The sequence below is a fragment of the Homo sapiens genome, chromosome 9 (genome assembly GCF_000001405.40).
Source record: "Homo sapiens chromosome 9, GRCh38.p14 Primary Assembly".
Taxonomy (NCBI): Eukaryota; Metazoa; Chordata; class Mammalia; order Primates; family Hominidae; genus Homo; species Homo sapiens.
Window position 1 is genome coordinate 19,504,781 of NC_000009.12, and position 17,494 is coordinate 19,522,274.

Genomic DNA, 17,494 nt, shown 5'->3' on the forward strand with positions numbered 1-17,494 from the left:
GAATCTAGAGAGGCAGTCTGGCCACAGGAGCCTTGCTGAGCTGCGGTGGGCTCTGCCCAGTTTGAAGTTCCCTGTGGCTTTGTTTACACTGTGAGGATAAAACCACCTACTTGAGCCTCAGCAATGGTGGATGCCCCTCCCCACACCAAGCTCAAGTATCCCAGGTCGAGCTCAGACTGCTGTGTTGGCCGTGAGAATTTCAGGCCAGTGGATCTTAGCTTGCTGGGCTCTGTGGGGGTGGGACCTGCTGAGCCAGACCGCTTGATTCCCTGGCTTCAGCCCCCTTTCCAGTGGAGGGAATGGTTCTGTCTCTCTGGTGTTCCAGGTGCCATTTGCCACTGGGGTATGATAAGAAAACTTCTGTGGCTAGCTCGGTGTCTGCTCAAATGGCCGCCCAGTTTTGTGCTAGAAACCCAGGGCCCTGGTGGTATAGGCGCTTGTGGGAATCTCCTGGTCTGTGGGTTGCAAAGACTGTGCGAAAAGTGCAGTATCTGGGCCGGAGTGCATAGTACAGTCCCTAATGGCTTCCCTTGGCTAGGAGAGGGAGTTCGCTGACCCTTTGTGCTTCCCAGGTAAGGCGATGCCCTACCCTGCTTCAGCTAGCCCTCCTTGGGCTGTACCCACTGTCCAACCAGTCCCAGTGTGATGAACTGAGCATCTCAGTTGGAAATGCAGAAATCACCCGCCTTCTGTGTTGTTCGTGCTGGGAGCTGCAGACCGGAGCTGTTCCTTTTCCAAAACAGGCTCTTAATTATCAGAACAAGAAGTGTTGATCACCCCAGCAGGCTTTGGGTTTTCCAAGAACACAGGCCAGAATTATCTCATACTCTTTTCTAGTACATTATACTTTGGTAATTATGTCTGGATTTTAGCAGTGAGAGTCTTAAAATAGCAAACACTTTAAAAATTATTATGGGCCAGATTTTATCCAAGCATCTTATATTATCTCATTTAATTATGTCATCCACATTTGAGGTAGATACTATTATTTTCATTTCATAGATGAGGAAATCAAGGCCCTGAGATTAAGACATCCTATGTAGGGCCCATATGTCATGTCCTGAGGTAATTCAGTATGAAGGGCCCATGTGTCATGTCCTGGGGTCGATTCTCCAAATGGTAAGTAATGGTACTGTGACTCAGCATCAGTTATTGTATCCTGCCCGAGATGGTAAATCTGCCCGTTAGTTGGGTGACTTTTCAAAGCTTGGGAAAATGTTATAGAAATACAGAGATAATGAGGTAAATCAAATTTGTAGTATTAATACTTTGGTGTGGTTTAGGAATATGTTTTATGATCATTTGGATATTTTGTGTATATTTTAAGGTGTTAAGGAATCCAGCATATTGGATAATCTGATTGCAATTTGAAATGTGTAATTTTTATTAGACTCATGATACTAATTTTAAAGATGTCATAGATTTTTATTAGGTTTGTAAATGGTATTGAAATGTTTATTATAACCCAGTTTACTAAATTTGGTTTCATTTATTACATTAATTGCTTAGAAATTGATTAAGTGCATAGAAAATTTTGTTTTCTAGGATTCTGTCAGGCTTTTGGAGTGCTTGAGAAAATCAGGTCTGTTAAATGTGTAAAATTTAAAATGCCTGAGGGAATTTAATTAACTAAATTTATAAATTGGATTATTTAAAATTTAATCTTTTATACTTAGTTAACTGAGGTAATCAAAGAAAAAGACACCATGAATTCTTATTTATTTATTTTTTAAGATGGAGTCTCACTCTGTTGCCCAGGCTGGAGTACAGTGGGACAATCTCAGCTCACTGCAACTGCCTCCCGGGTTCAAATGATTCTCCTGCCTCAGCCTCCAGTAGCTGGGACTACAGGTGCCCACCATGACACCCGGCTAGTTTTTGAATTTTTAGTAGAGATGGGGTTTCACCATGTTGGCCAGGCTGGTCTCCAACTCCTGAACTCAAGTAATTCCCCCGCCTCAGCCTCCCAAAGTGCTGGGATTACAGGCATGAGCCACCGTGCCCGGCCTGAATTCTTATTTTCATATAAAATATTAGATTTATAACAAGACTTTTAAGTTGAACTTCAAGGCTTAGGCAACACTAGTCCTTTGAATTTACACTTTCAATATATTTAATTGATTAAAATTCAATTGCTTTGGAGTAGTCCCTTGAGTGTACAATGTTCCCACAGATATTTAAAAGCTCAAATGATATTAGTAAGCACTCAATAAGTGGTAGTTACAGATGGTCCCTCAGTCCTGATGATTCATTTATCTTAATGATTTTTGACTTTACAATGGTTCAGAAGCAACGCACTTTCAGTAGAACGTCAATAAATTATATGAGATCTTCCACACTTTAGTATAAAATAGGTTTTGTGTTAGATGATTTTGCTCAACTGTAGGCTAGTGTAGGTGTTCTGAGCAACTTTAATGTAGACTAGGCTAAACTGTAATGTTCAGCAGATTAGGTGTGTTAAATGCATTTTTGACTTAATATTTTAACTTATAGGCTTATTAGGATGTACCTCATCATAAATTGAGGAGCATCTATATAATTAACAGTAACTCTTGCTTTCCCTGTTGTCCCCTTGAATCTCTGCAATTAAACTTCCATGACCATGTATGTATTTCTTGTGACCCTGAGGGTCCTGATTAGCCACAAGTAAGAATTACTCCAAACAAAACAATACTTCTTTGAGTCAATAATTTTATTACTATTATTTTTCACACTGAGGAGACTTAGTTACATAAAGTGATATTCTATGAATTGATTATCAGTAGTAGAAGCACAAAGGTATGGACAGTGAAACAAGAAGAAACACCCTTTATCAGAATGAAGTCCATGTGACAGAAGTACATACTTCAGACAGCCTATGTACAAATAAGTAGAGCTTCCTGTCTATGTACAGACATATTCACAGAGAATAAACTGACATAGTATCACCATGTATCTCATCATCCAGTGAAAATTACGCATAATAAACACAACACATACAAAATGACAGAAGTAATTTGGAAGTGCATCCACTGGATTTTTGTAGGGATGAGGATAGGGGTTACAATGCTCCTTTAAAACGGAGGCGAACAAAGGAAGCATGAGACCACGTCTATCCTAAAAAAGATCCTTTACAAAAATGGCATTCTGATATTTTTAACATAACCTGTCTAAAAGACAGTTTATATGTTATAGAGCAAATGTCTATGTTGGCGTCAACGTTGACAACATTTTCTTTGTTTTAACCGTATCTGAAGAACAAAAGTATAATTTCTCTTGCTTTTAGTGCTAGCAGCAACTTCACTGAATCAGGAAGGTAGCTTTTGCTATTCTTAGCTTTGATGGCTTTTTAAGTATGTGGATTGCTTGATGGTGGAAGCTGTTGCTTCCGGAGTTTTTTGACTTGAGCAGAAGAAATATCAAGGCTAGATGCAGGGTATATATGTGTACTTTGTGTTCAGGGTTCAATAGCGCAATTCAGTAACTGAGGCTCCCTCTTCCGAATAGAGTCTCAGCCCTTTAGAGAAACTCTTCAGACCACAAAACAGCCTCTAACAGAGGAATATCACTGGCCCTTGGTTCAGATACCCTTTCTTTAGGGCAATTTGGCCACTTAAGCATAAAATTGATGGGGTTGTCCAGTTTAGTACCCATGTTTACTCTATATGGACAATTTAGGTACCCAGTTCTGGTGGATTTCTAGACTATTAAGTGCTTTTTAGTAATTACTTTTACTCAAATTACATAAAAGGGCTGGGTATGGTGGCTCATTCCTTTAATCCCAGCACTTTGGGAGGCCAAAGCAGGAGGATCTCTTGAGCCCAGGAGTTTGAGACCAGCCTGGGTAACATAGTGAGACTCCATCTCTTAACAACAACAACAAAATTAGCCAGGCATGGTGGCATGTGCCTGAGGTCCCAGCTACTCAAGAGGCTGAAGTGGGAGGATCGCTTGAGTCCAGGTGTTTGAGGCTACACTGAGCTATGATTGCACCACTGCACTCTAGCCTGGGTGACAGAGCAAGACCCTGTCTGTTAAAAAAAAAATTATATAAAAATTTGTGATGAAGTTGAAACATTAAAGTTTTTAGTTGTGGGGACATCTTTATATATGTGTGTGTAAACAGTGTACCATACTAGGTTAGAAATTGTGTATTTTAGCGGAGAGGAGGAAAATAACCACCAAAGCATTATGAAATCTGCTGCTTTACATGTCCTCCCAAGGAAGGTTAGTAATTTAGGCATAAGGAATTATTGATAAATTGTATACCTCTATTTCCCATTTTTATAAGGGAACTTCTTAGACCCATCCTATATTTATATAAAAGCTCAAACACATCCTACATTTCCCAGGTATATGTTTGCTAATTATCTATTTCATTTTCCATATGGGTGAACTTTGCTTTATATAACAAAATGGATTCCTGAAAAAAATCTACAATTTTAAAATAATTTCCATGTAGTATTAGAACTTGCTAAAGAAACTGTAATAAGCTATTTTGAAAACGAAGACTGCTTTTGTGAAATGAATAATTTCTTTGATTTTCAAACAGTTTTATTAAAGCACACATCTAAAATGTATAAGTAGATTAGGATTGCCTAGAACAATAATTGTAGTTAATAAAAAATAGAACAGATAAACTCCAATTTACAATAAACAATACAAAACAGGAATGACTCATGGACTGCTTATTGATTGACTATATTCAGAAGCCCTGAATATATGTATTATTGGTATTTTATGGCTTTAATTAAGACAGTTGTCTCTTATGAAGTACTATAAAGTGCAATATTAAAAAATTAAAAAACCCAAAAGGCATCCATTGTCCTTCAGTTTTATTCTGATAAGAATTGGGGATTTGTTTAATTAAATGGCAAGAAGTTATCTACCCTTAATTTATGCATGTAATTTCATCCTTAAAATAATTTTATTCAGGATTTCAGACTTTTTTTACTTTTCTGTTTTTTATGACATGATTTTAAAAATTAGTATTTTCTTTTGGTTAGCTGAGTATTTTGGAGAACTGTTAGTCTCCAAGGCCTTAGTTACTTATGGATCCATTATGAAGGAATATGCAACCCAATATGTAAGAATGCAGAAACAAATTCCCATCCTTTTGGTGAACCCTGGCCCATGAGATCAATCAGTAGCTTTACAAATCCTATCCAACCTACCACACAAAAGGATATAAACACACTGCAGTACTGGTTAATAAGTGGAGATCCAATCATTTATCCCAGTTTCATATTTAAAATAAAAATATTGATTCCTCTTGATAAATTAGTGGGTAAGTACAGGCCCAGAGTTTTGGAGTAATCTAAAGTGGTGTCTCCCCAATTTTGAGTTCTTTGTGAGTCTGAGATTATGACCTAATGACCTTAAAAGCAGTTTGTGACCTTGACTTCACCAGAGCTTCATGGTCATGCTGCACCCAGTATAGTTCAACACTGTTCAGACAGTGATTATCATTAGTCATAAGGTTCCATCATTTAAGAACAATATAAAGAACTTAAAAAGGCTTAGTAGAGAGGAACTATAAAAATTATTAAGAGGGTTAAAGACTCAAATAAAAATCTAAAGATAATTTTAATTGAAAATAGGTAAAGAGTCACATAGCGGTAACTTCCAACTATGGGGCAAAGAGTGAAGAGTGCCCAGATGCAGTTACTTTTTGCCAAAAAAAAAAAAAAAAAAAAAAAAAGTTAAGTCATTAAGTGGATGGGTTTGGGTTAACTTGGAGGGAGGCTTTTCTTGATGCTGATGGTTGTTAATCATTGAGCTGGGTCACACCAGCATCTATGCTGGGATCTCCCCCGTAAGAGGACTGTCCTTTGGATTAGCGTGATAGGCTAGACAAACCCTCTTAATGGAATTAAATCTTTGGTGGAAGCCTAGGCAAACTCCATGGCATTCTTTCAGACTTAGATATTTGTCTGTTTTTAAAGATTTTATTAGGTTTTCCAGTCTGTCAATGAATGATCTGGTAGAAGTGCTTTGGCTTAGATAATATGGTGCTCTACACAGTCCCTCACTGTTCGTACGCTAATTTGAAAACAGTTGCCTAGCCTGTCGTAATTGCAGGGTCATTTTTGCCTCTCGAATGCTGCCTGACTTGTGGATTTGCTTGTCCTTTGTAGCTGCTTCTTACTCTTTCTTAAGAAATCTGTCCCTAGCCATATTAAGGGCCTCTGTGGAGTTTGGGTGGTTCTGAGCAAGGCTGGTGCCCCATGTGTGAGGAAGGCATGCAAAATGCCAGTGTGTACATTAGCTGGGGGGAGTCATTGTGGAAAACAGATTCCTTCCAGAGCAAACATGAGTGTGCCTGTGATTTCTACAGACGACTACATGCTCCGGGTGATTACATGCCACAACCTGCGCAGGTCCAAAGCTCCTGGTGAAAAAGGAATATTGCCATGGTGTAATCATAAGTAATAGAGTTGAGCTGGCTGTGAGTAGTTCCCTTATTGCTTTTCTTGTTTGCTATATATTTAAAAAATATGAAGCTCTGAGATTAAAAATGAAACGCAAAGACAGAGGCAGAGGCAGAGTCAGGGAGCTAACAGTAAATAGAAGGTGGAATAGGGCAGGGTTACTTTTCTTACCCAAGGTCTTCCTGAGATTATTTTTTAAAAAAATCTAAAACTGTATATGGGCTCTTGTAATTGGCTAAACATAGCCTGATATTTGTTACTGTTTTAAACTACATAGGGATATATTTCCACGTGACACTTGTTTTCTTGGAATCCTAGGAAATTAATATCTCCTTTCTTCCCTTTCCTTATTATTCTATTTTTTCTCCTACCCCTCTCTTAATGACAAGGCCTTACCTAATAATTGAAGACAGTATTGTTGAGACAGGTATAGGGGTTGAGGAGGTATCTTTTAAAAATATTAAGCCGGATCGTTAAGGAATATGTGGCTTAGCAAGAGTGAGCACTGACTTCTATGCATGCTTTCAGGAGACAGTAGTTTTCTCCAGAAATCACCCTGAGAACAGCTTCACTTTGTTTCTTCTGGAACACAGCTGCCACCTATAATAGGGCCACCTACTTACCAGAAAAACAATCTGTCCAGGTGCAAGGAGGCATAGCATCCACATAATCTCGCGTGTGTGTGGGGGTGTGGGTGTGTGTTTGGTAGATGTGGGGAGGAAAGCACACTGCCATGTTCTGAAATGCCTGCCATCAGACCCATGTTAGATAGTCCAACGCAGTAATTTCTGCAGAGCATTTAATGCAACTTCCATCTTCTTCAGCTCTATCTGGCCAGCCACTCTACCAGGTGTCTTTTCTTTGGTCAACTTTTTGTTAAAGTGGTCTGGGGGTGGGCTCCCTTTGTAGCTCATCTCTTCTCTCACTGTTCCAGAGGCCTTTAAAAGCTATGTGCAGTGGTGGGGAGTTTGCCAACTCTCTCCCTGCCCAGGAATGGATGTACATTAACATTGTCAAATGTCTAATCAGCGAGGCAGCTGCGTTTTGCTGAAAGGGCTCCAAACCACCTGATTCATGTCTTCCCTATAAAATAAATTATGATGGCCCTTGTCAGGTGACACCTGTTAGAAGCCTTACAAAGCATTTTTCCTGAATATAAAACAGTCTCCGCCTCTTTTTATAATCTTCTGGGCAAGGCTTTAGGACATTCTGCTGCATCTGCCGAGGGTATAAACAACCCTATCCCTTAGTCCCTGCATATATCATTGCTCTGTCACTGCCTGACTCAGTTTAGGTCCTGGGAAGCTGCATAAACACCATCTGATCTTCAGCTTCAGTTCATCAGGATCTGGTCAGGTGCAGAGGGCAGCTGGAGTTGGCATGGGCATTCTCAGATGCAATTTAGGAGTTTCTATTTGGGAATTGTCAGTTTGAGCCAAGCTGCTCTGCTGCCTTGGAAGTATGGGGGAGGGTAGGCGGTGACAGCAAGCAAGACCTGCTCGGTTTGCTGTGAATAAATGAAATCATTTGCGTGCAACTCATTTATTTTAGATTGATTAGTACAATGTTGGCTCTTGAATTGTTGATATCTTTTATACCCTGCTCCAGAGAAGCAAAGAGAGTATCTGCAGTCTAAATTTTTGCTTTGTATTTTCTGTTGTGTATTCTTTGCCTCTATATCAGCATTAGGGATATGGCTGACCGATTTCCTTAAGGCTATAAATTGATATTCTTAGGGTGGGAAAATATGGGTACATATGTGTATATTTGTAAATATATGTGCATGGAACAAACAACCTTATGAAATCAGGAAGAAATGTTCCCTTTGGTTTGTGTGCATGACTTTCCTTTTCCTTGACTTTGGCAAACTTGATGCTCCCTGCTTTAGAATCCTGAATGTGATAGGGTCAGAGGGTGATGATGTAAGTCATATTATATGTGTACATATAGATCTGGTATAAAGATATATATATATATATATATATGTATATATATATATATGTATATATTTATATATGTATATACACAGGCATGCAGGAAACGAGTTAGAGATGACCTGTTTTGGAAACCACGGTGTGGAAAGTTCTTATAATTATGCCAATGATTTGAATGGTTTAAAGACCCATTGTTGAACTCTGTACACATCTCTCTGAATTTACCCTGGCTCAACACATAACCACTTACAGACACAGAAATGAAGGGAAAGCAAGGGCAGGCTGTGGAATCACTTGTGTCCCATCCAGTGAGGGAGCAGTGCTGTTGTAGGTCAGGCTCAGTGCACATGACTGATGTGGGAACGGGGCTTGGAAATTTTGTCTTCTCAAATGCAACTTCACATGAAAGACCACAACACTTCCTGTGAAGTGGAGCTCCGAGACAAGCAAAGGGCACCATAGCTGCTTTGATCAGCCTTCACTGTAAGCTGGGAATAAATGGGAGGGAGTGAGGAGGCAGAGGGAGGATCAGGAATAAGAAGAGGGCGGCATCAGGTCTCCTTCAACTTCTGTTTTACATGGTCTGTTTGCAGTTGAGTCAGTCACCTATTTAAACCTTATTTCAAACAACGCACCAGTCAATAATATAAAATTCACACAATAACCAACTTGGTTGCCCTTCAAGAAATACACAGGGAAAACAACTGGAGTTTTTAAACGTAAAGTTCACTTCCTCATTCTTTCACTCTCTAAGGAAGCAGGACAAATTCTTGCCCCAGTACAAAGTCCTGACCTTGATGAATGAGATTCATTCCCATTAGGTGGCAGGTTCCACTCAGCGCCTCTATTGGATGGTGTTTCAATGTCTTGGAAGGCATTGTCCCACATCTGAAGACCCCAATCTGCCGAGTTGGAGAGACTTGAAAGCCAGCCTCCGACTGGCAGCCATCTTGATTTCTTGTTTTCCCAGGGGGCCTCGGGTTTGAAGTGCTTTTTACTTCTGGGTGAAGAGGAATGATGGGCATTTCCTGTTATTGCCATGCTCTGTGGGGTGAGCTGAGGTTTTCTGGAAGGAATACTGAGCTTGATCTGGGGCTGTCAGGTTACCTTTCCTCTTATTCTGCTGTGAGTTCTGCATCCTGTCCTCTTATGTTAAGAGGTATGTGCTCACAACAAAATCATAGCAGGCGTCAATGACAGAATAGATTGGAGATAGGAACACATATGGTGAAATTTCCCATATGCCATATGTACCAACTTAGACGTAGGATGGGTACAGAATAATGAACCATCCTTGATTCAATTTTTCAACTGATTTTAAGGAAAGCATGACTTGGAGAAAAGAAAAGTGCTCTACATAGTTTTCCATTGATTCAGTTTGCCTATTTTTTCCCCCTTGCTGGCTTTATTTTCGACTGACATAGATCTGAGAAAACACACAAGGTGTCATACAGAACTTGGGGGCGTGGAATATTTTAATTTCATGCATTCAATGTAATGTTGAGCAAAATCAAGAAATCAAATTGTTGGAGTGAATAGCTTGAAACCAGTATAAGGAAGCTGTCAAATACCGTGTACTCTAAAACTTAGACAGAATCCCAGATAAGGTCTTGATGGAAGAAGAGACATAGATGTTACAAGAACTTTAACCAAAGCCTGGTCCTGGTACCACTCGACCTGGCACTCAGAAACCTTCCTGGGGTGCACTGAGTGTGCAAATGCCTTTCCAAGCATCGCTAAGTTGCCTCAACCCAAGCAGTGCTGATCAGAGTTAAGTTAGTGCTATTGGGAATAATGATTTCTTCAGACACTAAAGCCCTTTATGACTACACTGGAAAACGTTTTAAAGAACTATGCCCTTACATCCCATTAGGTGGCAAGGCCCACTAAGCACCTTTACTGGATGACTTCTTATTGCACATCTAGGCTCTCTTGGCAGCCCTTAGCATCAAAATATATCTACATGACAATCACAGCTAAACTTACCCCTCTTCTTTTGATGATAATGGGACATGCGCTGGAAAAATACAGGTTCAGTTTATATAGTCTTGCTGTCCTAGAAAAAGCACTAATTTGGTTTGTAGTCATATTTTCTACTTGCATGCTGGGACAATATAAGAACAAAACAAAACAACCCAACCCTGGTTACCTCCCCACTTCCCCAAACCAAGCCACCCAGCCTGGGTTTTTACCTCTTTCTGTCCTAAGTACCCTGAGTTTCTTGGTCAGGGTACTCTGGTGGAGGTGGGCAGATAGTCTCTCTGTTTGGCTTGTAGGAATGTTTTGGAAGGCTCAACTCAGGGCCCCTACAGACCTTCTCCACTAAGCCCTCCTCCCTGCAAGCTATTTCCCTAAACCATCTACCTTACTAGGCAGGATCACAGCAAGTCCAAGGTAGGCTGAAGGTCACAGCAATGCTACCTTTGTCTTGTTGGTTCCATTAGTTCACCTCTTGTACTTAAGAGGTAAAGCCCAGACTGCAAGTTGATGCCCCTCTTCAAATAAGTACTATAAATATACTAGAGCTATCCCTGAAAAGATGCATTTGTACTTTTATATATATCTGATTTTATATATATATATATAATTTTTCTTTGTCTTTATTTACAGGTATGTACTAATCTATAGGTATGCAAGGAGAGGTATAGTACAGGAACAGGCAGGATTTGTGTGTTCATGTGCGTATATTTATAATATGTGTATTTATAGATATATATAGCCTGTGTCCTTGTTTGCATCGACTGTACCTCCGACCAGCGAGGTGTACTTGTCAGTGGTGAATAGGGAGAAGCCCTGTATTGACGGTTCTCTTTGTCTTTTACATGAAGTCATTTCAGTAGGCAGGGTGGAAGCAGCCTGTGAAGTGAATGGGCCCAGTGTGAATCCATCTCTCCTCAAATTCACCAAGGAGGGACACTTGGCACCCAGGGCTGTGTGCCAGCTGCCTCTTCTCAAGAGGTCAAGGAGCCCAGAGCCCAGAGTGTGGAGGGACCATTCATGCTGCTGGTGCAAGATATGGCTTTTCCTGCTAGATGGAGACGGGGCATGTAAGAATTCTGTCTTCTAGGAGAACGCTCACCACCAGGAACACAAAGTAGAGGCCAAACATGATGAAGCCCAGGATTTTGTTCATTCGCCACTTGCAGAGGGCGATAGAGAGGATGACGAAGAGCAGCATGATGAAGAGAAGGACGATGGCACAGAAAAGGCCATTGCTGCTGACAGCCACTGGCTGGAATCTGTGAATGACGGTGTACAGGAGCCAGGGCAGTGGGAGCCTGTGCAGAAGTGAAGCAGGGCAGAGGGGAGTGGGAAGACAAGGGAGTAGTCAGACACGTTGAAGAAGGCAAATATAACCTATTATTACCTTCTCAGGAACTCTAAACTGAAAAGGGTGTCTTGTTAGGTTCACTATGACTCGGGCATGGTTGGCCCAGGAAACCACTTTATAAGGAAATAAGACTTTAAAAACCTTTATGTCCTGACTGAATTCAGAACAGGGAGAACAGTTAGACAACATCAAAGACATGACTGCTGTGGGTGATTTCTACATTTGCGAATTTGACTGGAAATTATTTTGTTTCCTTCCTAGTTGAGATTAAAATGTTGCTTTCAGTCCTAAAAAGGTGAATTCCAGGATTTGCACAGGGTGAAGGGAGCAGGCAGGTGCAAAAAAGGCACAGAAATGAGTGGTGAAAATGAGGAAAAAATTAAAAAATGGAGACAAAGAATAGCAATGACTTAATAGTCTAAAGGCAAGTGAAATTAAATGATGGTGGTTGGGGGCCACGATACAATATCACAGGCTGAAGTTTATTCTGGGAAAGATGTTGACAATTGTTTGATGAAAAATTGGTCTTTCTGAAAGATTTAAGGAAGGCAGTATCTTACATTTGTGATGTGTGTGTTTTTCTTAAAAAAAACTTTATTATATATTTTTATACCTGTTTTCTCCCTTTTCATTCACCTTTTAAAATCTGAGGATCTCTTGTGTTTCCTATCGAGAGTGGTGATCCTGAAAGACCTCAGGAGAGCTAGTTTCCACTACACCACAAGCATTGACTAGAACTCTGGGAAAGGAAGATGGCTGGAAGTGCAAGGCTCAGGGAACATGGGCATTTCCAAGTGGCTGGTGATAGGCATCTGGCTCTACCCATCAGCCTAATGACAGCATGGTGGCTAAGGAGATACCTGCTTGGCTAGCTGAGCTTTCTGAATGACAAAAGCTAAGGGAGGTTCAGTTTTGGCCTAGACTCAGGGTGTGGGAAGAGGAGGTACTCTTTTGAAACATTACATTCTTCAAAGGAAGAGAGAAATGATGAGGGTGAAAGGGGCAGTGAGTTTACTCATCTGCCTCCTGTGCTGGAGAGACGGCATTGGAAGGCAGAGCCCGTGCATTGTGGATCTTTGAAATTCCAGGCCTGGTACATGCAGCCCCTAACTGGGTGCATATGTTAACCTGGGCCAAGCTGAAGTGATTGATGTGACTGCCTTGTGGGGATCAATACCGGCACTTTGCCCAGTAGAGTCTGGCCAGGAGGTGCTTCTTTCTGTGAACTTGTTGGGGAGGGGTTCCAAGCTTGGGAACAAGGGGTAATTCCAGTTCTTAGCAGGAGGGGGCAGCCTTGGCATCCTGGGGTCAGCAATGAAAAGTCAGAAAATGGAAGGGGAGTGCCTGAGAGTGGGGGTGATGGCAAACTGAGAGCCATTGACAGGGACTTGGCCTGGGAAACTCTTTTCCCATCCCTTGTGAAGAAAGACCAAAACCCATTTTATTCTTATTAAAACACACACACACACACACACACACACACACACACACACACACACACACTCTCACACTTCTAGTGAAGTTGAGTTTAATCGCACTATAAATGGCTTGCAAAAACCTTTCGGGGGAAAATGACACTTTTCATGCCTTTTGGTCTATTAATTCTATCGTCAAGAATTAAGTATAAAAATAACTGAAAATGCAGATTAAACTTTACTCAGAAAATGATCATTTCAGTGTTATTTTGAATAATAAAAAGCTGAGTATCTCTAATAATCTCTAATAACAGGGAACTAGTTAAATAGTAAATAAGTAAATGTAATGTTATATAGCTGTTTAAAAAATCACAAGCTTAGAATGCTACAGGAAAATAGCCATAATATAATTCTAAGCTAAAGATGAAAGATGCATACATACACACAAATAGCAATGTAATTTCAATCATGTGAAATACACAAGAATTTCAAAAGGTTGGTGAGTTATTGATCTTTAAGCTTTATTTTTCTTTTCTTTCTTTTTCTTTTCTTTTCTTTTTTTTTTTTTTGAGATGGAGTCTTGCTCTGTCGCCCAGGCTGGAGTGCAGTGGCGTGATCTTGGTTCACTGCAACCTCCACCTCCTGGGTTCAAGCGATTCTCCTGCCTCAGCTTCCCGAGTAGCTGGGACTGCAGGCGCACGCCACCATTCGTAGATAATTTTTGTATTTTCAGTAGAGACAGGTTTGCACCATCTGGGCCAGGATGGTCTCAATCTCTTGACCTTGTGATCCGCCCACCTCAGCCTCCCAAAGTGCTGGGATTACAGGTGTGAGCCACTGCGCCCTGGAGCCTTATTTTTATTTTCTAAATCTGTGAGTATATGTTAATTTTAGAAGCATAAAGAAAATGCTGGCAAAGCTATGAAGAAAGTTTCACACTTAATATATTGCAATGACATCACTCAGTATATTGTCAAAAATGTTGTCAGCTGGTATAAATTCTTGGGAAAGAACTTTTTGGAAAAGAAATGTACAAGACATGTCAATACCCATTAAGATGTTCAAAATATTTAGTTCATTAATACTGCTTAAAGGAATTTATCCTAACAAATAATTAAAAGAGGAGGTTTTTCTGCATAAAGATGTTGATCAAAACTCCCATAGCAGAAAATTTTTAATAATCCTATAAATGATAATGAAAAAGCCACTGAAAAACAAGAGGGAATATTTGAAGCCACAAAATGTTATGAGCTATGAGGAGTCTTAGAAAAATGGTTATGATTTACTAATTTATTCATAGATGCCTCTCTATGCCAGGCATAGATTGCTTTAAAATGGAAAAATAAAAGCCTTCCAAGTAGATAAAACTGAATATTTTACTAAGAAAACTTTGTGAAATATATGGAAGAGAACATACAACAAAGAAGTGTTGTTTCCGAGTAATAGGATTAGGAGTGATTTTTTTTCTTTAAACTTCCTTGTGTGTGTGTGTGTGTGTGTGTGTGTATGTATACAACTTAAGAATAATGAACAAAAAGCATTTTGTAATTCTTCATAATATACTATAGAGCATTACTATTATTTTTTACAAGAGATTGACCAAGAACTCTACCAGGAATATTTGGACCACGGAACTGAGAAACACTGTTTACAGTAGGTACAACTTCCTTTAAAACATACACCTTTTAAGGCATTCATTCATCCATCCATCCATCCCACAAACACTTGTCAAACAACTACCAGTGATAGCAATGCAGTAAGCTCTGATGAGTTCCTGCTCTTGGGATGCACAGTCTAGCAGGCAGATATACCAGGACAAGAGTAAGATGTACAGACAGTTTTTAGGGGCAAGAGCCTCCAAGTCAGGCCCAGGGGAATCAGAGAAATCAGGATTTAAGTTGTCACTAAAAGGGTAAGTCAGAGTTTTCCAGTCAGACAAGCATGGAGAGCTCTTCAGTGGGGGCTCACGTGTAGTTCAGACAGTGAATACTCACAGCAGAGTTTTATGCACAGAGAGTGCTACAATTGATAGCACAGACTCTTTGTTCAAATCCTACCTACCTCATTTACTAGTGTGAACTCTGGGCCCTTCAGTATTTTTATCTGAATAATAGGGGTGATAATACATACTTCATAGGATTATTGTGTGGCTTAAATGGAGAAAAACATACACACAGTGCACATGGTAGACACTGTATGAAAAACAATATGGTCATGGAAAGGTGGAAGACAGAACAATATTTAAGATATTCAATGAGAAAGTAGGTGTTTTTAGTGAGGTTCCAAACTCAAGTGTTAGGAGCCCAGTACTCCTGGGAACGTAAGGATAATGTCTTATATCTTATTCTCTCAGGGTACTGATGTTAAGTTTATTTGTCAGACTATTTTTACTTTTGACAAGTTAAATAAAATGGTGGAGATCGCAGCACCTCTCCCCAGTCTGATTCACTTTAGTGATTATTCATACTGAGAGCTCATGTTTGCTTCATTATAAGAACAGGTCTCACCTTCTGGCTTTCAAAAAACCTGGAATATCTTCACCAGTACAGATAAACAAATGGTAATGCCAAGACTGTCAGTATTTTCCAAGGAAGGAAACAGGATATGTATGGTAGGCCTATGTTTTCCCCAATCTGCCTTAAAATCCAAATCTCACCTTAGGCTGGTGGGGACTTTAATTAAAATTAGAATGTGAACCTTCTTATCATGAAGCTATCACGGTATCTCAGTTCCACTTGAATGTTGTTATATAAGTGAAATTCTAAAGTATTTCCTAAAATACCCATTCTGTATGTAGGTATGTGCTTCTGCTTGTCTAGGGATGACTTATTTTTCATTAAGTTCTCTGAAATGAGAAAATGAGAAATAGAATTGGGGAAATGCAATGGTATTCTCAATCTTTACTCTGTATTGGTATTGGTTAGTCTTAGGTTCAGAGATCCTGGTCATGTCTTTCCAGCTTCTAAGAAGACAAAGACACTGGTGGAGCTGGTGCACACCTTTGTAGAACTACCTCTACTCACCCTACAGTGATGTCAAAAATGTTGCTTCCAACAGAGCTGGACACAGCCATGTCCCCTAACCCCTTCCGGGCCACTATGACACTGGTGATAAGATCAGGGATGGAGGTCCCAGCAGCCAAGATGGTCAGGCCCATAATCTCTTCACTGATGCCAATTGTCTCTCCAACCTAAATGTCAGGACAGGAATAAACATCTCAGTGTTTGAAGTTACAAAATCATAAAAATCACAAAAATTTCAATGCGACCTCCTTTTAATGCATTTCTATACTGTGCTATGCAAAGTGCTGAGATGATAAAGATGAATAAGCCACAGTCATTGCTAATAGAGTTTATGCTTTTAGGATATTCAGACCCAAGGCATCAGGAATGTTCACATGAAAATTAAACAGATAATCTCAAAAAAGAGCTCTAGAGGGCTAGAGTGTAGCCTTTATATGGTGCTTTCTAAGATTGAGTCAGGGAAGCTGCAGGATTAGAGGTAGAAAGGCCAATTGGCCATGGAATCCAGGGGGCAGCACCTGGCAGTGGCACCAAGTCCTGTGGAAGATTTGCCCTTCAACTTACTACCAAAACCAAGGACTGACACCCAGGGTCTCCATTCTCCTTTAGCATCTCCTAGTGTCTATAATCTATTCTGAAACACTTCAAGATGCTATAATTTCCACTGGAATCTCGATTCTGGGTGTTTCGGGTTTTGGTAACACATAGCAAAGCAACTGTGGAGAAGCAAAATCCAGAAAATCAGAGGACCTGGGTCCAAGATCTGGCTCTGGTATGTGTTAATTTCTTGACATTTTGCTTACTGTACCAATTATATGTCATTGATCCTCACTTTCTCATCCATAAACTGGGGATAATAATACCTACCTTACCAGGTACTTGTGAGGACTAAATGATAATCTGTGACAGACTCTTTGTGAATAGTACATTATTATTGAAAAGCAAGGGGAGGGTGGCTATTACTTTTTTTCTTTTTTTTTCTTTTTTTTTTTTTGGTCTTTTTCTTTGCCTTTTAAGACTGATGAGTTCTATTTTGGAAGGTTGGTCTAGCCTCACGTGGAAGCTCCTCCATTCTCTTGAGCAATTTGTTTGTCTTCTTGGGACTTTTTAGAAAAACTTACTTATTTTCTTTAGAGATGGGTTCTTGCTCTGTTGCCCAGGCTAGAGTGCAGTGGCACAGCCACAGCTCACTGCAGCCTCAACCTCCTGGGCTCAAGCGATCTTCCAACCTTAGCCTTCAGAGTAGCTGGGACCACAGGTGAGCACTGCCACACCTGGCTAGTTTTTTTTAGAGATGGTTCTTACTATGTTGCCCAGGCTGGTCTTGAACTCTCGGCCTCGAGATCCTCCTGCCTTGGCCTCCCAAAGTTCTGGGATTACA

General features: G+C 40.2%; 1 protein-coding gene and 1 long non-coding RNA gene across 8 annotated transcripts in view; one reads left to right on the top strand and one right to left on the bottom strand.

Annotated features, from left to right (window-relative positions):
* LOC105375988 (uncharacterized) overlaps positions 1–17,494 on the top strand; it is a 93,057-nt gene that overhangs the window by 34,679 nt on the left and 40,884 nt on the right. The window lies entirely within an intron of this gene.
* The window catches only part of SLC24A2 (solute carrier family 24 member 2), an 800,438-nt gene continuing 785,618 nt past the window's right edge, over positions 2,675–17,494 (bottom strand). For all 5 annotated transcript variants that reach the window (XM_017014592.2, NM_001193288.3, NM_020344.4 and 2 more), the window contains 2 exons: positions 16,114–16,280; positions 2,675–11,622 (listed from right to left, as the gene is read on the bottom strand). In XM_017014592.2, the coding sequence (XP_016870081.1) occupies positions 11,373–11,622; positions 16,114–16,280 (417 nt within the window). In that variant the 3' untranslated portion in view covers positions 2,675–11,372. The remainder of the gene's footprint in view (positions 11,623–16,113; positions 16,281–17,494) is intronic.